General features: G+C 48.5%; 2 protein-coding genes across 5 annotated transcripts in view, besides 2 other annotated features; one reads left to right on the top strand and one right to left on the bottom strand.

The window, feature by feature from the left end:
• Nucleotides 1-25,281, bottom strand: part of SND1 (staphylococcal nuclease and tudor domain containing 1) — a 440,400-nt gene that overhangs the window by 60,197 nt on the left and 354,922 nt on the right. The window contains exon 17 of one of the 2 annotated variants that reach the window (XM_017011987.3): nucleotides 5,298-24,363. The exons of the other annotated variant lie outside the window; for it this stretch is intronic. Coding sequence (XP_016867476.1) covers nucleotides 24,319-24,363 — 45 coding nt within the window. The 3' untranslated portion in view covers nucleotides 5,298-24,318. Of the gene's footprint in view, nucleotides 1-5,297; nucleotides 24,364-25,281 lie in introns of those variants that run through there. 2 annotated transcript variants of the gene reach the window in all.
• On the top strand, nucleotides 269-5,326 carry LRRC4 (leucine rich repeat containing 4). 3 transcript variants are annotated; one of them, XM_011516461.4, is made up of 3 exons: nucleotides 269-382; nucleotides 1,401-1,484; nucleotides 1,657-5,326. In XM_011516461.4, the coding sequence occupies exon 3, from the start codon at nucleotides 1,757-1,759 to the stop codon at nucleotides 3,716-3,718; it is 1,962 nt and encodes a 653-aa protein (XP_011514763.1). In that variant the 5' UTR covers nucleotides 269-382; nucleotides 1,401-1,484; nucleotides 1,657-1,756; the 3' UTR covers nucleotides 3,719-5,326. The 3 variants fall into 3 exon arrangements, with proteins under 3 accessions (XP_011514763.1, XP_047276651.1, NP_071426.1); XM_047420695.1 differs by lacking the exon at nucleotides 269-382 and adding an exon at nucleotides 690-890; NM_022143.5 differs by lacking the exon at nucleotides 269-382 and having other exon boundaries at nucleotides 960-1,484.
• Nucleotides 397-516: a silencer, noted in NCBI's record as "silent region_18597". NCBI's record gives its function as "represses an Ori minimal core promoter by ATAC-STARR-seq in GM12878 lymphoblastoid cells {active_cell/tissue: GM12878}" and the evidence as "EXISTENCE:reporter gene assay evidence [ECO:0000049][PMID:35858748]".
• Nucleotides 13,275-13,825: an enhancer, noted in NCBI's record as "H3K4me1 hESC enhancer chr7:127658625-127659175 (GRCh37/hg19 assembly coordinates)". NCBI's record gives its function as "activates a minimal SCP1, AML or CMV promoter by ChIP-STARR-seq in naive H9 embryonic stem cells {active_cell/tissue: H9 hESC(naive)}" and the evidence as "EXISTENCE:reporter gene assay evidence [ECO:0000049][PMID:30033119]".

The raw sequence follows: 25,281 nt of genomic DNA, 5'->3' as shown, positions 1-25,281 counted from the left end.
GGCTCGCTCGCCCGCTCGCCCTGGCCCCGCTCCGCTCGTCTAGAGGGGGCGGGGAGGAAGCGGCCCGGGGAGGGGGGAGGGGGGAGGGGGAGAGAGGAAGAGAGGAGGAAGGAAGGAGGAAAGAGGAAGACGGGCGGCCGGAGGCGCGGGGCTGCGCGGCGCCGGCCGGCGCGGCGCTGGAAGGCGCCGGCGTTAACCCCGCGAGGCAGGCGACGGAGGGGGAGCGGCGCTAATACATAAGAGCACTGCATCACGCTAATCTTCTCCCAGAACAGTATGCGTCAGCAGTACATTCACGTTCTGACTGAAGGACAAAAGGATGAGAGAGCAGTCTGCGTGGCTGCCGCCTGCAACACCGCGAGCCCGGCGCGAGGAGGAGACGGTGGGCGCCGCGCGCAGGGGCCCCGCTGCTGCTGCTGCCGCCGCTAGCCAGCGGGGACTATGTTCCTGGGCTCCGGAGCGTTTCCCGCAGCCGCGACCCCCGCTGCTCACGCCGCTGCAGCAGTCCGCTGGCGGCGCGGCCACTGAGGGCGCCGGGAGCCGAAGCCGCGAACTCGCTCCCTCCGCACAAAGCCGGAGCCGGCGGCGCGCCGGGGGCCGGGCAGCGGCGGGCGGCGACGGGCGGTTGCGCGCCGCCGGGGGCTGCGGCCGCCGCCGCCGCCGGACCCGCGCCCGCCCCCGGACTCTCTGAAGGGGCCTGCGGTGCGGGCGCGACCGCGGGCGCCGCGCGCTCCTCCGGCCGGCGGACCGGGTCCGAGCGCAGCCGCCACGCCGCTGGTCCTCGGGGGCCGGACGGAGCGCCGCCCCGCGTGCCGGCAGCCGGCGGACTGGAGAACTGACCCCCCGTTTTTGTCTCTTCCACCCTCCGAGAAGAGGCGAGGAGAAAGGGGGTGTGTGTCTGGGGAGGGCGAAGGCGCCGCGAACACCTCCTCTTAACTCTCGCCGCTCCGCGAGCTCACGACCGCAATCAGCTGCCGCCGGCCCGGAGCGGCCGACGCCGGGAGAGGGAGCGCAGCATCCAGCGAGTGCGGCCTGGGCGGCTTCGGGGCGCCCCCGCACTCCCTCCGGCGGCGGCCCGCAGAGCGGGCCGGGGCCGCCGGAGCGCACTTTGGCGATGAAGCGCCTTCCCCCGCGGCTGGAGCGAGCCGGTGCCAGGGTCCAAGGACAAAGCCGGGAAGCGCTGGTGGCGCCGCTCCTTGGGCGGAGGGGGGGGCATGCACCTGCATAGCCCGCCGGGCCTTGGCTCTCCCAGGCGCGCCTCAACTCCGCGGCTTCGCCGGCTCCGGCTCCGGATTTACTAGAGGCCATTTTGTCTCCCCCACCCCTTCCCTCCCCTCCCCTCCCCTCCCCTCTGCCCTCCCCGCCCCCACCACTTCCCCCTTTTGTTAATTAAAACTAAGAAGTCGGAATGGGAACGAGGTGCCCAGCTCCCGTGGAGAAAGCTTAAGGACACCACGCCAGTGCTTTCCTGCCTTCCTTCCGAGGTAGGTGACGGCGAACTGGGTGGGGACGGTTGCAGTGTGGGAGAGTCGTAGCTTTCGGAGGGCTTGCCTTGAGGGTGGGTTGGGAGACCAGGGGCCGCTCGAGTTTGGCAGGATTTTTTTCGGCCGATCCGCTCCGTCTCTCTAATCGCCCCCTCCCCACCTCCTTCTCCAGATGGAAAGAGGAGCTCCTAGCTCACTTAAGCCGGGGTAGGGCTGGTTCTCCTTTCCGAGCCAAAATCCCAGGCGATGGTGAATTATGAACGTGCCACACCATGAAGCTCTTGTGGCAGGTAACTGTGCACCACCACACCTGGAATGCCATCCTGCTCCCGTTCGTCTACCTCACGGCGCAAGTGTGGATTCTGTGTGCAGCCATCGCTGCTGCCGCCTCAGCCGGGCCCCAGAACTGCCCCTCCGTCTGCTCGTGCAGTAACCAGTTCAGCAAGGTGGTGTGCACGCGCCGGGGCCTCTCCGAGGTCCCGCAGGGTATTCCCTCGAACACCCGGTACCTCAACCTCATGGAGAACAACATCCAGATGATCCAGGCCGACACCTTCCGCCACCTCCACCACCTGGAGGTCCTGCAGTTGGGCAGGAACTCCATCCGGCAGATTGAGGTGGGGGCCTTCAACGGCCTGGCCAGCCTCAACACCCTGGAGCTGTTCGACAACTGGCTGACAGTCATCCCTAGCGGGGCCTTTGAATACCTGTCCAAGCTGCGGGAGCTCTGGCTTCGCAACAACCCCATCGAAAGCATCCCCTCTTACGCCTTCAACCGGGTGCCCTCCCTCATGCGCCTGGACTTGGGGGAGCTCAAGAAGCTGGAGTATATCTCTGAGGGAGCTTTTGAGGGGCTGTTCAACCTCAAGTATCTGAACTTGGGCATGTGCAACATTAAAGACATGCCCAATCTCACCCCCCTGGTGGGGCTGGAGGAGCTGGAGATGTCAGGGAACCACTTCCCTGAGATCAGGCCTGGCTCCTTCCATGGCCTGAGCTCCCTCAAGAAGCTCTGGGTCATGAACTCACAGGTCAGCCTGATTGAGCGGAATGCTTTTGACGGGCTGGCTTCACTTGTGGAACTCAACTTGGCCCACAATAACCTCTCTTCTTTGCCCCATGACCTCTTTACCCCGCTGAGGTACCTGGTGGAGTTGCATCTACACCACAACCCTTGGAACTGTGATTGTGACATTCTGTGGCTAGCCTGGTGGCTTCGAGAGTATATACCCACCAATTCCACCTGCTGTGGCCGCTGTCATGCTCCCATGCACATGCGAGGCCGCTACCTCGTGGAGGTGGACCAGGCCTCCTTCCAGTGCTCTGCCCCCTTCATCATGGACGCACCTCGAGACCTCAACATTTCTGAGGGTCGGATGGCAGAACTTAAGTGTCGGACTCCCCCTATGTCCTCCGTGAAGTGGTTGCTGCCCAATGGGACAGTGCTCAGCCACGCCTCCCGCCACCCAAGGATCTCTGTCCTCAACGACGGCACCTTGAACTTTTCCCACGTGCTGCTTTCAGACACTGGGGTGTACACATGCATGGTGACCAATGTTGCAGGCAACTCCAACGCCTCGGCCTACCTCAATGTGAGCACGGCTGAGCTTAACACCTCCAACTACAGCTTCTTCACCACAGTAACAGTGGAGACCACGGAGATCTCGCCTGAGGACACAACGCGAAAGTACAAGCCTGTTCCTACCACGTCCACTGGTTACCAGCCGGCATATACCACCTCTACCACGGTGCTCATTCAGACTACCCGTGTGCCCAAGCAGGTGGCAGTACCCGCGACAGACACCACTGACAAGATGCAGACCAGCCTGGATGAAGTCATGAAGACCACCAAGATCATCATTGGCTGCTTTGTGGCAGTGACTCTGCTAGCTGCCGCCATGTTGATTGTCTTCTATAAACTTCGTAAGCGGCACCAGCAGCGGAGTACAGTCACAGCCGCCCGGACTGTTGAGATAATCCAGGTGGACGAAGACATCCCAGCAGCAACATCCGCAGCAGCAACAGCAGCTCCGTCCGGTGTATCAGGTGAGGGGGCAGTAGTGCTGCCCACAATTCATGACCATATTAACTACAACACCTACAAACCAGCACATGGGGCCCACTGGACAGAAAACAGCCTGGGGAACTCTCTGCACCCCACAGTCACCACTATCTCTGAACCTTATATAATTCAGACCCATACCAAGGACAAGGTACAGGAAACTCAAATATGACTCCCCTCCCCCAAAAAACTTATAAAATGCAATAGAATGCACACAAAGACAGCAACTTTTGTACAGAGTGGGGAGAGACTTTTTCTTGTATATGCTTATATATTAAGTCTATGGGCTGGTTAAAAAAAACAGATTATATTAAAATTTAAAGACAAAAAGTCAAAACAAAAATATTTTCTAACTTGTAAGTTCTATTTAAAGGGGGTGGGGGGGAATCTTGGGAACGTTGTGGGGTACAAGCCACAAGTTAACTTGCTATGCTGCCAGAAGGGATTTCTGGTATAAGGTTGAAATTGCTGAGATAAAATAAACTAAAACAACAAACATCCTTAAAGAGGTAGGGTGTGGGCTGCTGAGGGGGCAAGAGGGATAGACTGAATCTGTCATTTTTTAGAAGATGCTTCATAGGACACAGGACTATCCATTTCTACAGACATCTTTCTTAAGCCGAGAGCTGTCTTTGCAGAATTATCTTATTAAAAAAAAATACAAAAAAAAAGCACCATGAATTTGTACTGTGCCAAAATGATAGTGGCAATAATATTTTTCTTCAGAGGCTAAGGGGAAGATAGACCTGTACATGTATTTTAAGCAGGAAAACCACCAAAATTCAAACGAACCCTTAAAGGGGCTGAGTCTTTGTCCATGTGCACAAGTCTTGGGGGTCTGTGCACTGGACACACATGTGCCTTGCCTGACAGAATTGCTTAGAAAGGAGCAGAGAAGGACGGGAGCTGGCGTAGCTCTCAGTCTAATGCTTTCACATTGCACCAGATTCCTGCAGTTGGGCTTAACCCACTCTGCAAGGCATGTGTCTATTCAGGGTTTCCCAGGAGGAGGAGGCCCCTGAAGGGGTGCGGCAGCAGGGGGGTGGGAAGGGAGGGTAAAGCAGAGAGAATGTATTCACAGGAGGCCATAAATTAGCATTGTGCCATGTCCACCTGTTGTTCCTGGACTCTGACACATGATTGTAGACAATGATGGCATTTTATGATTTTTAAAAAAGATTTTGTTTGTTTTAAGGTGGAGAGGGAGGAGAAGCCTGAATTGGGGAGCTTGGGAGTGGAAGCTTTTCTCATGCTTGTGATTTGGTGACTCTTCTAAATGCTGATTCATTAGGGATTATTACAGCGGATGTCAACTGGTTGTGGTGATGGGGTGGGGGCAGAACATGAGTAGCAAAGAAAAGGGAGAGACGAAAAGGGTACAGGCTCACGTAAAGTAATGAAGCCTTTCCCAACCAGGATGGTTCACAAAAAAGCTGTGAGATCCACAGTTACAAGTGACACGCATGCACACATGGAGTTCCACATGGGGTACTGTTGAATGGAGCACACTGATGGGAAGCTTCCCTCTCCCAGGCCCCCTCAGGAGAAGGTGGAAGAGAAAGGGTGGGCGTGGGTGGGGAAGGCAGAGATCTCTGTTATTCTGGTCCATCTAATGATGTAACTTCTTTCAGTTATTATTTTAGCTTTAAAAGGAAATAAGGGGTTCAGATTTGAAAGGGGGTGGTATGGGTGGGGGAGGGGAATTGCCAACAAAAGAACACTGATTGTAATGTGAGAAAAGTGTATTTTTGTATTTTAATAAATATTGTTGAATTTTTAATTCAATGTCCCCAAAGGGTTAAATTGAGTAAGACCCTGAACCTATAGATTCTTATGAGCCAATCATTTCTATTTAATAAAAAAGCGGGGAGGGGAGGGTACAGGTATGATGGGGGAAAGACAAATGTTAAATTATTTTCAAGTATGGGAAAATGCTAAAGCTGTCAACCTTTCCTTAGCTTAAATAAAAGCACCCCGATTCTAGTGCACCTTCTACAAGCTAACTGTGTTAGTCCCTGGCTTTGTTGGGGGTATAATCAAATTCCCTATGCCCTGGAAAAGCAGGGGAAATGGGTCAGCCTCAGCTCCTGGGACCTGGCCAAAAGTTAAATGCCACCTCAGCAGAAGCTGCTGGTCAGGCAGCACCAGCTCTACCCGAGGAACCTGGGGGACCTGGATTTCAGAGGCCTGCAATAATGTAGTTTGGCTTAAATTTCCCACAGGCAGTGTTGCTTCTGTTCTCTGGGTGCTAAATAATCTAAACATGTTTTGGTGGTAGGTGTCTGTCTCCTGATGCTTACCAAGTAATAATGTCCAGAGAGGCTGCGTGAATCAGGACCCTGCATTTCTTCAGTGCTAGTATTTATACTAATGCAGGGAATTGGGACTGAGTGGGTGTGAACTCTTTGGCACTAAGGAGGGAAAGAGAGGCAGGCAGCACTTTGCAGCAGTTGGCTAAGAAAGGGCCAATTCTTAATCCTCCTGGGTATATACATCATTTCTGGGTATCAGTGTGCCAGCACATATGTATGGGCACACACTTATAAACTACCACTCACAGTTCTAGGCACCAAAGATCCGTTCCTCCTGCCTCTCCTTTATCACCATACCCCCAATAAAAAGAAAGAAAACTGCAGGAGAGCAAAGGGTGGGACTTGGCTAGGACCAGGTGAAAAAGCAAGAAATTACTCCCTTTCCTAGTGCCACAAGACACAACTCAGGCTGTTTAAAACAGCTTCCTGGGTATGCATTCAGAGGAAATTGCGGAGGAAGTTGCTGTTTCAGAAATAGAGGATGAGGAGCCAATTTCCTAACACCCTTCTTTTTTTTTTTTTGACAGCTATTTGAGCAGACAGGGAATTATGCAGTAACTTTGCAATGACTAAGGGTCTGTGGCTAACAGTCTGAGGGGAGAGGTACAGAAATGGGCCTAAAACAATCTCGGGAAAGAGTCCTATGGACAAATGCATTTGTCCCAAGGAAGACTATATTCAGCTTCAATCTGTGGGAGAAGGACTTTTGAAAGGAACCTCAAAGGAGTTGGGGGAGACTAAGACTAGGATCCTAGATTTAAGTATCCTCAGAGCTGCAGGGAGAGTTCCTTACCCCAGTAGGCCTGCCCTTTGATCCATGCAGTTTCCACTTTTACAGCAGTAACCTTCCTTTGCTATCATGGTATATCCTCCTCTGTAGCAGGCACTTGGGACAGCTTTTCAGAGAGGCATCCCGTGAGTACCAAAAATGCAGCCGTGAATGCTGTGACTCATCCTTGGCCAGGCCAAGGTTTGTTACCTAGGAATGGAACACGGGTTGGTAGCTCTTTAGGGGGTAGTTATAGCAACACGTTGGATGTAAAGACTCTTGCTGATGATACGGAGTTAGAGAATTTTCATTACAGAACTGAAGGCCGTGAAAAATCATTTAGTCTAATCCCTTCACATTTTACAGTCAAAGAAACTGAGCCCCAGAGAAATTAAAAGACATATCCAAGGTCACACTGCTAGTGGAGGAGGTGGGACTAAAAGCCCAGGTCTTTTGACTCCTGAGTCAATGTGCTTTCTCACCCAGGCTGCTATTGGCTATCAAGAACATACTTAACTAGCAAAACAGTTAAAATGAGACCTTCCTAAGATACGTCTGTGTTCTCTTATCCCTTAGAGCTGTTCACTCTCTTTAGAACTGGCTATACTGCCCTCTAAGGCCTGACTACAGGGGCTCCACATGTGCTAAGGGGTTAGACTATCAGGACTCTACATAACCATTTCCTGATTCTTAGGCCCAATGGCAGACAGAAACTGCAGGATCCCACAGAGGGTGACAGCTAAGGGGAAGGAGTGAAGTAGGTAAGACTTGGTGTTTTATAGTTAGAAAAGGTGGCTTGGCCTCCTCCCAGCCTTGGAAACTCTGCAGTGTGGAGGAGGTCTTAAAACACCTACTGGACCACAGAGGTTCCCCATAATGGAGTGGTTTTTGCTTACCCGGCTCAACAATGAGAATACTGGGAGGGTCTTTTGCTCCTCTTCTCCACTGTATCTACCCCAGCTCTAACTCTTTAAGTGCCATGCTGTAGCTGCCACTTCTACAATGTGCTCCAGGACTTTTTAACACCCTTCAGCTGCATCCTATCGTCAATGGAGGTAAAGGTAGATAGGCTAGTTTCTAAGGCCTAGAGACATTAGCTTTATCATGGCTATTTAACATGTATTGAGGCCAGCAACTTGCTGAGTGCCGTGGAACAACCAGCAGAGAGTCCCTGCAAGACAATTCCTATTGTTGTCTGAGAAGAGGGTCAGAGTCCATGGTCTCTGGCTTCCTTCCGTGGTAATGGGTAGAGACTGGGAGAGGGCTAAGTGGGCCTTACTCAACCCAGGCTTCTACCTCAGGGGGCCAGGGCCTATAATTAAGGCTCCATCATTTCACTGCAACAAAGCAGCAGGGGCTTAAAATTAGAAGAGAGAGAGGAACATTTATATCCAAACATATGTCTGATTTTATCTCCTCTGCTGGCACTCAGCACTCCATGCCATCGGCTAATGCAGGCACTGTTCACGCCATTTCTAAATCCTGCCTCAGCTAAACTGCAAGGCAGCTTTTGGCTCAGAGCAACTCTCTTGGTCTCACTCCTTTCAGGAAGCACCCCTCTCCTATGCAAGGGGAAGAATGTTTTGGACAGTAGGATAAGTTGTTTTCATCTTTGCTTTAAATTAAAATGAAGTAAATTACTTCTTGGAGCAGTGATAAGGGCTTCAGCAACTAGATCAGTGAAATACACACACACACACACACAGCAATATAGCATAGTGCTTACAAGCACAGACTCTGTAGCCAGTCTTCCTGTGTTGAATCCTAGTTCCCATCACTTACTAGCTGTGTGACTTTGGAAAAAGACTCAGTTTCTTCACCTAAAAAATACAGACAATATTACTATCTACCTCAGTACTTCACAGATTGTGAGAATTGAAATTTTACATATATAATTATATATGTATGTGTGTGACATAGATCTCACACTTAGTGCTCCACACCATATAGCAAATGCTAGATAACAGTTATTTGACAATACACACAAACACACAGATCAACAGAGAAGCCCCCATCACCACCCCTATTCTTGAACATTGTATATGTCCAAAGAGAGACATGCCTATTGTGCTACTCCAGAGAAGAAGGATGATGATCTAGAAGTCAGAGACAATAGTATCTATAAGCCCGATCACTGTGAAAAACATGGTTATACTTATCCTCCCAGGAAAACCTTGCCTTGTGCTCTGATCCCTACACCAGCACTATAGCTGTCCCAAGGCACTGATTTAGTCCAGGAATAGATTACCTTTCCTTGTGGTGAGCCAGAAGAAAGTAAAGGTGCTGATAGTCATGCATAAGCTGAGGGCTGGGACCTTGGGAAGCCTAGGTCCTTTACCAAGAAGGTAAACTTCCTAATGTCTTCTCCCCTACCCATGTTTCTCTGGCACAGAGCAGTCATAGCCTTATTACTCAGGTCAGTGATGAAATCCTCCCTGACCATTAAGTGTTACCAGGACTGGGAGTGGGGAGTGGGGAGGCACTAGGAGGAAGAAGGTAGCACTGAAAGGGCCGGTGGGGCTTCCGAGCAGTATTGCAGAGCTAGGAGAAAAGAAAGGCAGACAAAAAGCACCATAATTGGAGCAAATGAGAGAAGAATGGAGCTCTATGGCAGATACACAGGCTAAGGGGCTGCAATGCAGTCAAGGAGGAAAGCCAGGGAGATTCCTCTGCCTTAGCAAGCAAGAGGCTGGCTGGACCCTGGATGGGGGAGGACTGTTAGTGCGAAATTCATGGCATGAAACAGAGGAGAAGAAAAGCAGGGAGATCAACTTTCCAAGAGAGGCGAAGAAAGAATGCATTTTGATTTCCTAATGAGAGGCTAGAATTAGATTTTAGGATGATCACAGGTTTTATCCTCTGGTACACGCCAGCTTTGCTGTCAGTACTTGGGCCAAACCACCTACCCACAACAGTCCTGTTCCCTATCCTGGAGGCTGTCCACTGCTTGGGGAAGCAACCCAGCCTTCAGGGATGTAATTTAATCCTGACCCTGACAGGCTCACTCAGGGATCTGCTCTAAACCCATTTCCTCATTTCTATTAACACAGTCATGGGGAGGGGGGTGGGGTGTGCTGGGGAGAAGAGAGGGAGCAACTCGGTATTTGTCCACAAAAAGAGTATTATTCCAGAGGAAGAGTGTTATATAAATTGTGTTTTCCAATAAAAATAGTGATGTCTATCAGTTCAGTGTACATGGACCTTTGCAGTGAGTCAGAGATTTGGCCTAGGCCTGTGGGGGATATCCCTGGGAGAAACTGTCTTGTCAAAGGAAGTTAGCATTTGAGACGATGGCATGATCTTTGCCCACTTATCCCATCAAAAAGAGTTTTGAAAGGATAGCAGGGAAGCATTGATATGAGAGGCTACTCTCAAGCTAGGTGTGGGAGCTAGACGGACCAAGATAGTACTTAGGCTTTCAGGTTTGTTCATTCTGTACACTCAGGAACATTACTAGAGTAATTACTACAGTTTAAATCAATTATAGGATGCCAAAGAAACAGTACTTGATCTACTTGTTTCTTTCATACCCTCCTACCTTCTTTTTTTTTTTTTTTTTTTTTTTGAGAGAGAGTCTTGCTCTGTTGCCCAGGCTGGAGTGCAGTGGTGTGATCTCGGCTCACTGCAACCTCCGCCTCCCGGGTTCAAGCGATTCTCCTGGCGTCAGCTTCCCGAGTTGCTGGGATTACAGGTGCGCACCACCACGCCTGGCTAATTTTTGTATTTTTAGTAGAGACGGGGTTTCACCATGCTGGCCAGGCTGGTCTGAAACTCCCGACCTCAGGCAATCCGCCCACCTTGGGCTCACAAAGTGCTGGGATTACAGGCGTCAGCCACTGTACCCAGCCCCCACCTACCTTCTTATAGCCCCACTAATAAAAAAATACCCTTCAATTAATTATTGTATCAGGTTTCCTGTCCCATATTCCCCATTTGAGTACACTCATCTGCCATAACAGGACCTAGGAAATCCTGCATGAGGCCCTCCATTTTGAAGAATGATGGCTCTTTCTTCCTAACATTTCTCATGATATTTCCTCTCCAGGGCAACTCCTTAATTTGTAGTCTCTTTTACAGTTCCTTTAAGGTCTCAACCCTCATTTCCCTGTGTCTCTAAGCTGGTGCTGATTTAGTCACTAGATAAGTTACTACCTGCTCAATGAGTCAGCAAGGATGACTGAGAAGAGCTTTCACACACTAAGTGTTCCCTGTGCAAAGTTTGGTTTCCTTGCCTCGGGCTACTTCTTCCCAGTCTTCAAGACCCTGGCTTCCTCCCTTTACCTGCCCACTCATCCAGGTTCATTAAGACCATTCAGACAGCTTCTCCCACGGCAGGTGAACTGAATGAGTTATAGGCAGCTCTCCACAGAGGCAGTTCCATCCAGGAGCCAAGTGCCAGTTCCCTGGATCATGCAGCTGTGTTTGGAGGAATGCTGAGTGCATCCCTCACAATAGGCCCAGAAATGGAGCTGAGGCCTCAGATACTAACAGCCTGTTTCTGCAGCCTGCCAGCCACAGTGGTTATAAGTTATAATCTATTGCCATTGCAAGAAGACTTAATTTCTGGACTTAAAGGAAGTCAGATAATACTTTATCCTATTAGTGTCTGCCTGTGTGAACTGACAATGGCATCCTTCTGACACGACTGCATATTCTTCCAATTCATCTCTTTAAGATTAGGCAGGGGGAAGTCTGGATGGAGTAGGAAAGGAGAGAGGAAAAAAATAACCTAAGGAAGAGACTGTTGAAGGAACCAGGGAAAGGGAAGACTATTTTTTTCATTAGAAATGAGGAGAGGGGATGCAGAGGGACAGGACAAGACTGTGCTCTTTCAAAGCATGTTTGCATTTCATTTTGTTTCTCTCATGAGGGGGAGAGACGGCAAGCACTGGAGGTGCTGTGTGCATGTGTGTCAGAAAAAAGGCTCTGAAGCCACAGAGAAGGATGAATACAAGAAGAATAAGGCATTGGCCCATTCTGTGCGCTTGCTGTTTCATCCATTGTGCCCGCTGGAGGCTTTCCCTTTCCTTAATCCTTCCCCCTTCATGTGTAAGTCCACATCCACTCCGACTAGTGGTGTTATGTCAGCCGAGGGTGCCTTCTCATTCTGGGTATGTTATCGAGGCTGGCCGACCTGGGGATGACAATTGACACTGAGACAGAACACAGGTTCATGGTTCCTAACTTCCGGGATATGGAGAGGGCAATGAGAACTTCCAAGTTAATTCAGAAAATCTAGTTGAACCCTCACATTTTATTTATGAGGAAAATGAAGCCCAGGAAGATGTGCCTTGCCCAGGTGTCACATAGCTGGTGATGCAGAGACCTTACCTGTAGTCTCTGGGTTCGCGACCTAGCGCAATTGCTGAGCGCCGGCAGGGCCACCATGACTTACAACTCCAGGGGGCGCCATTTACAGAAATGGCAAAGTGATTAGTGCCCCCTGGAGTTTGCAGTTTGATGCAATCCTTTATAGTTCCCTTTTGGGAGGGGGGAAGGCCTTTCCCACCAGTACTGTTATCTGTGCTTAATGCTCTGAGACAGATGGTGCCCACTCATGATTTCATTCAAACAGGAAGAGCTGAGAAATCAGGCAACTTTCCTTTCTCTTCAGGGCATGTGTGCTCTGATGGCAGCCCCATGGCTAATAAACCAAAAGGGGCATGTGTTGCTTCCATGGCCTTCCCCTTCTCTCTACAAGAGTGCAGGGTAGTAAGGTAACATCTATCCCAACATGACAGGAGGGCTTGCAGAAAGCTAAATCATGTTAGAGGTCTGTTCAAGGTCATGCAGACCCTTGGAGAAGCAGAGAAGCCTGGAGTCCCGCTCTACCTCCCTGGCCTTCCTAGTGTTGTGTAAGCAAGGGGACCCTCAGAGGGAAAGCTCTGGCAGCCCAGGTTGACTCAGGGGTCTACCCTGAAACTGGGGTCCAGAAAGCTAGGAAATTGTCCCCTCTTCCTCCCATCTCAAATCCTCTCTTGGGAACAGAGTGGCCCTGGCTATAATTTTATCACATACATTTAATTAGAATTTGTCTTCTTCATGATGGTTTCAAGTGAAGTCCCAATAGAAACATTCTAAAAGAACAGTGCTTTCAGGCAAGGATTTCTTCTAACCAAGTTAATTTAGCAGAAATGTGCATTGGGTGGAGTTACCTCTCTTTTCAACTTCAAAGCTGGGAAGCAATGGGAGGTGAGGAATGCAGAGAAAATAAAGAGGAGGGCAGGGGCTTCAGGCAAATGAGTTTCCATCCATTAAGGAGCGGCAATTTCTGCTAGCTCCCCTAGAGACCGGTCCCCTCCAATAATGGCCTGACTCTAATGATTCCCACTCCTAAGCAACAGCCTGTGTTATGCTGGTGTTGAGACGAACTGTGCCAGAGAAATTCCCTTTCTCTCAGAGGTGCTGCTATCATTACACAAGAGACATTAGTTAGCCAGGAGGATGTGCTATTGATGGGGAGAGAGAAAGATAACCAAAGAGAATGCTCTTCCCTAGCAGGCTTGGTACAGCTGACTTAGGACAGAAAAGGCGGACTGAGAGGTTACGGGTTAGCAATAAGAAAGGACTACCCATCATGGGCAGATTCTCTGGACCAGGGGGTGACCACAGGAGAAGTGGCCTCCTGATGAGTTGATGAACTCAGTTCAAGGAGGAACTAGCTGGCTGAGGTGGGGAGGGGGGCAGGTCTTTGGAGTTTGGAGTGTGGGTTAAGCTCAGACATAATGGACAAAACTGATGGACATTTGAGATGTGAAATGTGGTAATAAGTTCATGGGAAGTAAGGGTAAGGGATTCAATTTCAGGTCCCTAAATACTGGTCATTTCCAGGACAGAAGTACAGGTATGTGGCCTTAACAGCAATGAAGTTAGGATCATAGCTGTTATTGAGGCTTCAATGTTAGTTGAGGGTAGAGGGTTCTCTTATTCTGTCCTCTCCACTCTAAATACACTGAAATCTGTGATGAAAGCTAATATTGTGAGTTACTGCTAAAGTTGTTGCCAGCAGGTCTTGAGTAGGGGGTAGGGAGTCCCTTATTTTGCCCCTGGTGGCTTGCCTGTGATAGAGACGGACTGCTTCCAGAGGCTGCCTTGCCAGATGTGCCAGCAGGCAGCCCGGCCAGAGAGCCTGCAGTGCAGACAGATGTCCTGGGTCGTATTCAGGATGGTGAGACCCTTTATGGTACAGTGGCTTGGCTCTGGGGCAGTGCCAGAGCGGCAGGGTAATGTTCCTCAGCCAGATTCATTTCCCCCCAAACCTCTTCAAATATGTGGGCCACGGAGGGAGGCAAATTTAATTAAATTACTGTGTTGTGAACTGCCCTTCCTGGCCAAAGGCTAAAAATGGGCTCATGCTGACATGCAAACCCATCTGTGTGTACACAGCATGTGTTTTCTTTGTGCTGGGCTGTCAGCAGCTGGATGGGGTTGGCAATGCCCAAGGTTGGACCCAGAGAGCTGGCCCTTTTGCCACAGCAAGGCAGAGTCAACAATAATCCAACCTGGACCCCATACAGCTCCGATGACCTTTCTTTGTACTTAAAAGATGACTGGGTGGCACTCCCCCTTCCTATATCAATTTGTTTCTCCTCAAGTGCTTCTTTTGCTGACACACAGGACTTTCCCATAAGGCGGTGCCCTGAGCAGTACTGGGGAAGAAGGAACAAAGCTGCAGTGAGGTGTGATTCAGAAGAGTGCATGGGCAGGGTTTGTTTAGCTTGGCAGGAGACAGAGGGGTCTCCCGGGTGATACTCTAGAGTGCTACTTCAGCAGTTCCCCACTGGCAATGCCAATGCTGGATAGAGAGCCCTTGTCAGGTGCCAGAGTAAAGCAGAAAAGCTTCCTCTCCCCTGCTCCCTGCACAAATGCCACAGTGCCTATAGGACTTGACCAACAAAGGCAGGCAAGGAAGGTCAGGAGCAACTAGAAGCATTTAACATGTGGAAACCAACAACCAAGACAAATGCTGGCTGTCCTGAACCTGTTACCTGCCAAGGTCATTTCATTTCCCTCCTGGAAGTTCAGGCTTCGCTGCTGCAGTTTACAAAATACCACAAGGGTAAAGAGTTTGCCCCCCCTCCCCGAGTGGTGCTGCTGCTGGAGTTGGAACAGGGCTTCCCTCTGCTGGTGTGAAATGACTTGAGATGGGATCAGGTGTGGCACGGGGAGTAGCAGATGCTGAAGGCCGCATGGCAGGCTTTTCATTCGGAACTGAGACCAGGGAAGAGTCAGCTAGGCAATCTTTTCCTGACTTGTCCCCCAGAGAGAACAGAGCCACCTCTCATGTCTAAAACTTCAGTGAATGCGACACATGGAGCCTGAGAGGTGGCCCTGTACTGGGACAACAGGAAAACATCTTCCTGGGTGATTAATAGTTGTACTTACGTAGCCCCCTCATGTCCTGGACATCCTGGTAGCAAGCAGCTACCTAGTTGATCTGAGCAGTCCAAGCACTCTGGGGTGATGATAGCCCTCTGTAAGTCCCCATCTAGGCAGGTTTGCAGGTAAGCCACATGAGAACAGGGGGAAGAACCTCCCTACCCTAACCTCCAAGGCTCTGGCGTGCTGTGTGCTCTTCTGAATCACACCTCACTGCAGGATGAGGAAAGCAGGATCCCTCTTGGAGCTCTGCTGTCCCCTCTACACTGTGCTGAGCAGCTTCAGGGATGTTCTCTGACATAACAGGGGGTGTGGGGGTGGTAGTGTATCTGCCACATTTTGTTGCTGGCTAAAGTTTCTGGCAGTGAATCTGATGGTTACTTTAAGGACTAAGACAAATATTGTCAGTTCAGGTCCTTGGGACCTATACCTCAAGAACCTGGCCTATGCCTATAGCTGACCCTCTGTCCAGTACTTCCAAATGACTAGAATTTCTGGATCAAAAACAAAAGCAGGCAGATCACTAAGATTTGGTCAGACACAAGAAAATAATGGATCCAAGAAAGCAAGTTTCCTATGGTTAAGAGGTTAAGTAACAATTGTAACAGGAAGAGAAAAAGACATGTAATCTACACAAGGAGGGTAGGGGCAGTTAGGAAGAACAAGAAATTGACTGCTGTGGTGAGATCTATCATGTGACTTTAGAGAAAGAAAAAGGTTCCTGGGTGTTCTGCCCAGGTACTCTACGCTTTGGTAAAGGAGCTTTCTTCCTTACCGAATTGGAGAGAAGAGGGCAAACACCAGCCATAGGCTGAGGTAACCATGACATTTCAGTGGAATGAGACCCCTTGATTTTCTGCCACCCACACGGCCCCATGCCCACTCCAGCATGAGAGCTCACCAAACGACTGGTTTCAAATTCTAGAGATAGGAGCAGATGCCTCTTCAGGCCTCTTAGTCAGTATTTTATTGTTCCTTAGGTGCCAGTAAAGTATTTTATCATTATTAAAGATTAAAAATATACTTATCCTGAAGAAAACACCCCAAGTTGTATAGAAAGTCCATAATATATCTCAATCCTAATATTCCTCAATTGAAAAAAAAGGTTTGTTGGGCAGGGTGGTGCACATCTATAGTCCTAGCTACTAGGGAGGCTGAGGAGGGAGGAACTCTTGAATCCAAGAGTTTGAGACCAGCCTGGGCAACGTAGCAAGACTCTGTCTCTTAAAAAAAAAAAAAAAAAAAGGAAGTTGTTCCTCCCTATTTAAGCAGCCTAGGGCTGGAAGAGCTTTCTCTTAAGGGAGAAAAAGCCTTAAAATAATGTCAGTAATAGCAATCTAGACATCAGGGTGAATAATATAAATGTTGGTATGGCTGTACCAATGGCATTCCAGCAGCTGCTGAGATCGCTTTGGTTTGCAGATGACCCAAATGTAAATACAAATAATGTATTTACATTGCATGGCCCTATCTAAAGTGGAAGGGGCAGCATGGTAGGCTGCTGCCCCAGGATTCTCTCCCTTCGATAGGCTGCTGCCAGAGTGGATGGCTATGTCTGGCTCCGGCAGAGCCTGCTAGGTGGGACATCTGATTCCTGTACAGCTCCAAATTTCTGCTGCTCACCAAGAAGCCAGCAATGGGGAAAGGCAGAGTGGTGTCCTGGGGCTGCTGCAGCCATATCTTTCTCTTGAACAAGGTCACCCATGACCCCTCTCATACTTGTTACCAATCATTTCATTTCTGTTGGAAAGGGACAAGGAGAAGGGAAACTAATTGATTATAATGGTGTATTACAGGGCACTACCTTTAAGCACCTTGAACCAGACTGAAAAACTGAGCATTGTACTTTGAGAAGTTGCCAAAGTCTATATTAAAATGAGGTAAGGGTAGGAAAAGGAAGAAAGGTGATTTCTGACATGTGCTTTTTTGACTCTCAGCTCCTATAAATACTTAGGGAGCAAAGTGGGTGGGATTAAGGCCATTTTCAAAAACAGATTAGCGCTGATGAAGGCTGGAAAGTGTTTTCTGCAAAATATGAACTTAAACCTTGCCCTGTTCTATGAGTTTCAGATAAATTCTTTTTATCATGTCACCCTGATTAATATGCCAGAACATGAACTAAGAGCGGTCTTCATTTTAGCCCCACGTTGACCTGCGGGCAAGGCCTGACCCAGCCCCTTCATCTTGGGAAAGCAGGGCAGGAGAGGGGATGGGAGTGGCAGACATCCCTGGGTATGGCTGGGGCCATCTGCACTACTGTGAATCAAGGTTGGCTCAGACAGAAGGCGCGAGGGAGGAGGTGCAGCTGCTGATGGCTCAGACAGCTTGGACCTGTCCAGGCAAACAAGCCGCTCAAGTGCAAGAACAGCCAGCCAAGTAGGCAGAGCACGAATAAGGACTTAAAGCTTGAAATATCTGACAAGATATAGAGGGAGGGTAGGAAGCTGTCTGGGATTTCAACTGGTGTCTGGCCTTGCCTCTCACTGCTAAGGCAGGCTCTTCTGCTACCAATGGGTGGGATGTGATGCTTGGGAGCTGGTGGGATGGATACAGGGAAGCATTCTTTGAGCTAGAATTTAAAAAAAATCTTCATCTCTGGTAACAAATTGCAGACACAGCTGTGGACTGTTCTCTCTCACAACTGCCCGCCAAAGCAAAACTGAATCTTGATCCACAGATAGATCTATCTCCCCTCCACAGATCTGCCCAAAGTTAAGAAGCAGTGGGCTTTGTGTGCATGTGTATGTGGGCCTGTGGGTGGGTGGGAAGCTGCACCACCAACTGCGCAATATGGGAGTCCTGTCTCAGAACTAGCTAAGGAGGACGACACAAGTGCTCTGCCTTCCCACCCGCCTTTGGGAAAGGGAGGCCAGCAGTGGACTGTTCGGGGGACAAGTGCCACTCCAGCTCCTTCTAGTGAGGACTCTTGGAGACAGTGCTTCTCAGCGCCAGGCTCGTATTATCAGCACTGTTGCTGTTAAAAATACCAGTGTAGATCAAATCTAGATGCTATATCAAATACCTTGCAATCTCTAGGGGTGGTGACAGGACTTCCTTCAATGCTTTAAAAAACATCCAGGAGATTCAAAGGTATACCCAGGATGACAGCCTCTAGACTCAAAAGGGAGGCAAGAAGACTTACTGATCAGACAGGTTTCTGATAGACAGGACAGTACTGCCACTGACTCCAGAAGCGCTTGTTGTACATGGTTGTGCTTAAGCTGAGTGACTGTTCCTGAAGTTTCATTCAGGTTCAGGAGGAGTAACTTCCAAAAGAAGTGGCCAGGTGTTAATTGACTGACTGCCCTGGAAAAACATAGGGAAACCCTCCTACAAGCAGGTCACTCTCCTCAGAGCCCCAGGCAAGGAAGGAGAGAGGATAGACTGCTCAGAGACCTGTGAATATCAAGTGGGAGAAACCAAGGCACAGAGAGATTACCCTTTATTCCAAAGGCAAGTAGTAAGAATATCAAATAGGTTATTTCTCTCTAGCCATTACCAGCTACAGGCTGTCCCTCATCAGTCACAGGCTGCTCTACAAGCAAACTTAGGCCGAGGTCTCCCCTGATCTAGAGCCCTGCCTAAGGAGGTGAGTGGTAGGCGGGGAGCATTACTGCCAGGGCTCCGCCTCATGTGAGATCAGCAGCAGTGGCATTACAGTCTCATAGGAGCTTGAACCCTATAGTGAACTGCACATGCGAGGGATCTAGGTTGTGTGCTCCTTATGCGAATCTAATGCCTGATGATCTGAGGTGTAACAGTTTCATCCCCAAACCATTGCCTCACCCGACCAGTCCATGGAAAAATTGTCTTCCATGAAACTGATCCCTAGTGCCAAAAAGGTTGGGGACTGCTGCTCTAGATCATCTCACAGTTTAGGTTCATAATTCCAAATGACTGAGAAACTAATTTTTAAATCTGAGGATTCCGACCCTTAGTGTAAAGGCATTCCCTGCCATAGCCCTTCGGTGATTCACATATTCATTAGTTTGCTTATTTAGAACCAGTATAGTGATCCGCACCCTGCCAGGTGCTGGGGAACGATGGAGATGAAAGACTTGGTCCTTGCCCTCAAGGCACTCAGCACTTGGGCGGACACAATGACAATGTGGTCTAAGAGTGGGAAGGTGGAGGTATATAAAGGGGGAGCACTCTGGAGAGTGATCCAGAGTCAGGAGAAGCCCCTGCCTCCTCCTGTCCAGAGTCCCATGAAGAAACACAGATGAGGCCACACAGTAGGCTTGTTCTTAGGACTGGGCTGAGGAAGCAACCCCCTCATTTGGAGTCTGGATGTAGCACTGGACAGTGTGGGACCAACGCTGACTCTGACTGTGTGAGGAAAACAAAGATGAGCCAGGCCCTTCTACAGAGGTGCAGGGGGTGACTTGTGCACTGGCAGGCACTGGCGGAAAGGGCTGTCTCAGGGGTCCAGGGGCAATGGGAAGGGAGGGTGTCATGCGAACCTTTGGGCTGGCTGAGTGACCTGGGCAGTCCATAACGCTTCCTCTGCTTCGGTATTGCTTAGCAAAACATAAACTATTCATAGCTTAATGTTTAGGTGTAAATCACAAAACCCCCCAAGAAAGAAGAACTAGCAGCCTACCCCTGAATGAAAAGGTGCTCAGCTAGGGTCCTGAGCAAGGATGTGGTATGTAAATGTAGCATGGAAGCTTCCAGCCTGAGCTCCAGAGCTCCATTTAGGTTGGCTGCAGCAAGCTGCTGCTCGTCCCACTTGCTGACCAGCCAGAGCAAAATAGTGCTTGGGAGTTGGAATAGGCACTGAAGACACAAAAGAGGCCTCATACACATACGGATGCAGAGCTGAGGGCATGTGGACTCCTGGGAATGGGGGGAGGTACAAGTTTCAGTCCTCTTGCCCCAGCTTTAGGCAAATACCGCTTGGCAAACTGCTGAGCACTCTTAAGGGACTGGGGCTTTCTTGTGGCATGTGTTACAATGCAGCTGCAGCTGTCTTCCATTGCCCTGGTGTAGCCAGAGAGGTCCATAGGATGGGACATGCAGTGCTGGCAAGTGATGAGGCAGGTAAACTCCAAGGTATAATAGCTCTCAGGGCGGTTACAGTGAGTTCATCCAGTGGAAGAGACAATATTGTCTAGTTGTACGCTCCTGAAGTCAGATTCCAGATACAGGTCTAATTTGATCTTTGTGCCATCCTGTCCCCCACCTACCAAGAGTCCAGATTACTCATGAAAACTTATCCAGAAAAATCAGGCTTAGGTTAGACAAAGTCCAAAGACAAAACACATCTTTTAGGGCATGGTGATCCAAATTTAATCCCCTAAACTAACTAGTGGTTCTCAATCTTAGTTCTACATTAAAATTGCCTGGGGAGCTTCAACATTAATATATATTTATATAAAATGTATGTATATATTTAAAACCCTTTTCTGATGTGAAAAATTCAAAATACTGAAAATAGGATACTAATGAACTTCCATATAACCACCATCCAGATCCAACAACTACCAAAGTTGTCATATTTGCTTCATCTCTATCCCCCTTTTCTTTGTGGAAGCATTTTAAAGTATATCCCAGACATGATGCCATTTTCAACCTTAAACACTTCATTTAATATGTATCTCTAAAAAATATGTTCATTTTCTTACATAACCACAATGCCATTATTATGCCTACCAAAATTATCAAAGTTATTCCTTGGTATCAACTAATAAATCTGGGGAAGTTAAAAAGCTGGTGCTTGATGAAGCCAGAATCTTTGGAGGGAGGCCCAGGCATTAGTAGCTTTCCTAAGCCTCCATACTCCATGATTCCAATGTGCAGCTGGGGTAAGAACCACTACCCTGATCCTGCTCTGGGATCTGAAGCAAGCTCTGCGAATGTCCTTTAGCCCCTGATCACATGTTACACAATAAAAGAGCCAAGGAAAACGTGACATGCCAGACAGGATGAAGAGAAGGAAAACAAAAGCATTAAAATGTCAGCAAGGCATAGAACTGAATCCTTTGTATACTACAAGGGCACTCTCTCCCCAGGAGTTGAGGCCCACTCACTTGAGCCACCAAATCCATCAAAGGTCTGAACACCAGGAACCAGGGTAGTTACCAGCTGCCTGGGCAGCTCACAGGGCCCTCAAGCACCTCTGCACTGGGCCAGTCTGCATCATTCCTCCACTCTATTTCTAGCTCTTCTTGCTTCTGTACACACTGTCTCTGTGGCCTAATATTCTGGCAAACTCTGAGCCTCAGCACCTGGTTTTAGAGAGGATTAATTATATAGGCCTGTGGTGTGTGTGTTTGGGGGTGGGGGGGACAGTGTGCGCCAAAACTTCTTGGGTGTTGGCACTGGGGTGTAAGTACCACAGTCTTCAATTTTACTTATTTATTTCATTAAAAAAATAACTAAACAAAACGTCCTGCAAAAAGATGAGGCTGTATCATTGTAGCTAAAAATACCTCTGCTGAGGGCGTCCGCTCACCAGCTCCTCAGTTAGAGATGCTACAGGGCCCTTTGTGAGCTGTGCAGTGTTGGCGGCTCCACAGGGGCTCTGGGGGGCTGGGGCCAATCCTTGGAGCAGTGACTAGTGACTACTGGGTAAAGGAAGGCTGGCAAACAGCCCTTGAGCCAGCATGGAGATCTGCATACTTCAGGTAACTACAAAACCCCTCTTGCTTTATGGACCCACTGCCTAAGCCAAGGAACCTCTTGCCTTCTTACGGCATCTCTGAGGATGCCAAAGTAATAGGGGACCAGTCTTGACTTCCCTGAGGTTCACATGAGTACAATAACCACCAGAGGCAGTAATGCCATGCAGTCTGGCTCATGGTGTCTCTGGTGCTGAACAACCTGTGGGTGGGGTGAGTGGTAACTAGACTCACTGGAAGCCTCTCCGTGGCCTCAGGAAAGGGCTGCTTTAAATGCAGGCTGACATCAGAAGGGGGAGGCTATGTGGAAGACAGGCTTTGCAATAAGGGCCTCTTTCTCTGGCTCTCTTTTCTTCATCCTCTTAGTACCCACAGGTCATTTAGTCCAAAACACTCATTTTTATTGGGGAAGATGAAGCCTCAGGGAGGTGAAATGATTTTGTCAAGGTCACAGAGATAGTAAATGGAAGAGTCAGGACTTAAACATGGGATTTCTGATTACAGGTGTAGTGCTTTGTTCCACTATACTGTGTCATCCTAATGAATGGATTCATTATAAGCATTCAACAAGTGTTGAAAGAGCTATGGGAAAAGGGATTTTCAGTTCAGGTGCCAAAAGGACCAAAGACTGTCAGGAGCGTGCTGCCTGGATGATCTGGGAATTCTGAATCTTGGCAAGTTCTGGGAAACTCAAGGGTCAGACTCAGCAACTTAATCAGATGTTCAGTGGGAACAGTGACGACTCCGCAGTCTGTGATCTTTAGCCAGAGATCCAAAGCCATTCCCTTCTTTTCTCTCTGGGAGTGGGAAACACTTGGTATTAGATTGACTAGGGGCTCTCAGGAGAAAAGGAGGCAAGGATAAGGACAAGGTTGTCTGACTTGATCCGGCATTGACTCCTTTCTCATTTCTTGGCATCGTGTGTGACCCTTATGAAAAAATGTGGAAGTTTGTGTCAAGAGCATGAGAGATAAGGGTCAAAAAAAAAAAAAAAGTTATTGAGAAAACACACTCACTGGCATGGGGGAAGGTGCAGACTTTTTCAGAAGAACACAATGCAAACCTAACATTGCCAGAATGCACAATGTGCAGGGGACTTGTCTAGAGTCCTATGCTGTCTAATAAGGTGGCCACTAGCCCCATGTGGCTATTTACCTTGAAATTATTTAAATTTTATAAAGATTCTATTAATCAGTTGTATAAACCATATTTCAAGTGCTCAATATCCATTACGTGGCTACTGTACTGGACAGCAGAGACAAAGGACATTTCCACCAACATAGAAAGTTCTGTTGGACAGCACTGGTAGAATCTGGTTGTCTTTTTCCATCTCTTGCTGCCTGCAATGAGTAGTTTCCGAAACCCCTTTGAGGATAATTGAACTTGGAAAAGCTAGAGGGTCCCATAATTCACTCTCCAACAAACCTACTAAACCTGGGCTCCAAAGAAGCTAACAGCAGCTGGGAGTATGAATCCGCCAGTGCACCAGGCTCACCAGGCCCTAACCCTTCTTTCCCCAGTACCTTGTCTGCATGTTCACAGCCACTCTGACCTTTGCATATTTTATTCAGTTTCTATTTTATGCTGTTTTAATTGATGTTTAATATAGCTTAACTTGTGTGGTGTTCCAAGCCCCTCACCAGGGGGCCGCTCATAGGCAGAAGCACAATTAATAGCAATCCTGAGAAAATTATGCCCTGTATCAAAGCTGTCATTGCACCATAAAAATGCTTATTATTACTATTGAATTCTACAGTCCTGACACCTCCCCATATTTACTAGGTAGCAGATAAACCTCTGTGTTTGTGCCTTCTCTACTCTACCACACCATCAGGACTAAATATAGCCCTCATGTCTATGTTTAGCTCCATTTAGCTGTGCTTTGGAAAAGGGGAAAAAAATCAGAGTTAATAAAATTAAATTGCTGGAAAATATGATTTGTTCCTCCCCCACTTGGACAACCCCTTAAAAGACGAACAGACATCACTGCTAACAAGAAGGGTAACCTGCCTCTGCTACAGGGTGGGAGAAACCCCCAGACCCTGACAGCATGGCATGAGTCCTGCATCAGCCTCATGGGAGAGTAGAGGGAGTGGGTCCAGGGGCATGGGATACCAGAGGAAAGGGATGGCACTCATGGGCCCACCCTGTGCCCTGCCTCAACTTGACCAGAACAGAGTGCTTGAGCTGGAGTCCCACCTAGGGAGTTCGAGGGCAATCGTGGATGGGCATTTTGACCTCCCCACAACTCTCTCAATTCAAAAATCAAAACAATGCAACCCCCCTCCAAAAAAAAAAAAAAAGGAAAGAAAAAGCCCCCAACCTGTAAGAGTTTAGCACTCCTTGGTTTCCTCCGGGCTTATCTGAAGCTTGGATTTGGCACGAATAGACAGCAGCTTTTCTACAACTACATATCAGGGAAAGCGATGGAAAATTCCAGGTCTGTCAGACACCTGTACTCCTCCTCTAGCACACGTTCTCAATCTGTGTGCAGTTATCTTTGCAACCCTGTCTAGGAGGAGTTTCCTTACAGAAGGCCAAAGCCCTGGATGACTTCTCTAACTTAGGCTCCCATCCTTTTCTCACTAAAATAATACAATTTAAAGAGAATGCACCCGCTTACCTCTTCTGTCTGCCTCCATCACATCACCTACTCCCTTTTATATGCCACTGTCATATTCTCAAATTATTACTTGTACTTCAGGTGGATGATGAGGCTGTTGTCTGGGAGGCACTGTGGGGATAAAGGTAAGAGCAATACAGTAGGAATGTGGAGACTGGCTCTACCATGAAATTTACCATGTGAAAGTGCACATCAAGTGATGAACTTCTTCATGCCTCAGTTTTCTCATTTACTGTGAAATGTTTGGATTGGACTATATAACCTCTAGATCCCTTCTATCTATGAAAGGCTATAATTCAGTATTATGAAGGCTGTATGCTCAAGTCCTTGGAAACTGAATGGGTCATACTCACTTCTATTTATAATTTGGTTTTTATCTTTGCACTCAATGCTCTTTGGAGAAATGTAGATTTCCATTCCTAAATTTTTCTAACCAACAAAGGAAAAGCTCTATTTTAGTTTGTTTGACAAAGAAACGTCTATAACTAGATTGAGTTTCCCATATAATATTTGCTTTGCCTTCTTCCATCTTTGCCTAAAAAAGGAGTTTCTAAAAAACCAGAAATGCTTTCTGTACTCAGGCATAGCAGGAATGAGGCTGCCTTGGCTGAAGGAAGAAGATGGTGCATATCTGGAGCCCCAGTGGAGCAGGACTATTTGCCATCTGCTGCACTAGTTGCCTCGTCTCCATATCAGGCCTGGTCTGTAGTTTGCTGCAAATACTAGGAGCCGAGCCACTTCCCACCCATGGCAAGCCTTGAACCCTTTGTATTCTGGCTGCCAAGATGATCTGAAAGCAGGGAGCCACTTTTCAGCTTAGGGAAAAACATGTGCATTAAATGGAAGTAGATTCTTCTTTTCCCTCCCTCTTGCCACTCCCAGCCATTTTTAAAGCTTTATACTAAAAAGGAGGAAGATCCGTCTGACAAAGCTGAGGAAGATGATGGAATTGCCAGGCCAGAATGGTTTATTAATGATCCATGGGAAAAAAAACAATTGTCCTGCTGGCAGCTTCACATGTAATTAACC

The sequence above is a fragment of the Homo sapiens genome, chromosome 7 (assembly GCF_000001405.40).
Source record: "Homo sapiens chromosome 7, GRCh38.p14 Primary Assembly".
NCBI lineage: Eukaryota > Metazoa > Chordata > Mammalia > Primates > Hominidae > Homo > Homo sapiens.
Note: the sequence above shows the minus strand (reverse complement) of the source record. Positions and strands in the feature narration are given on the sequence as shown.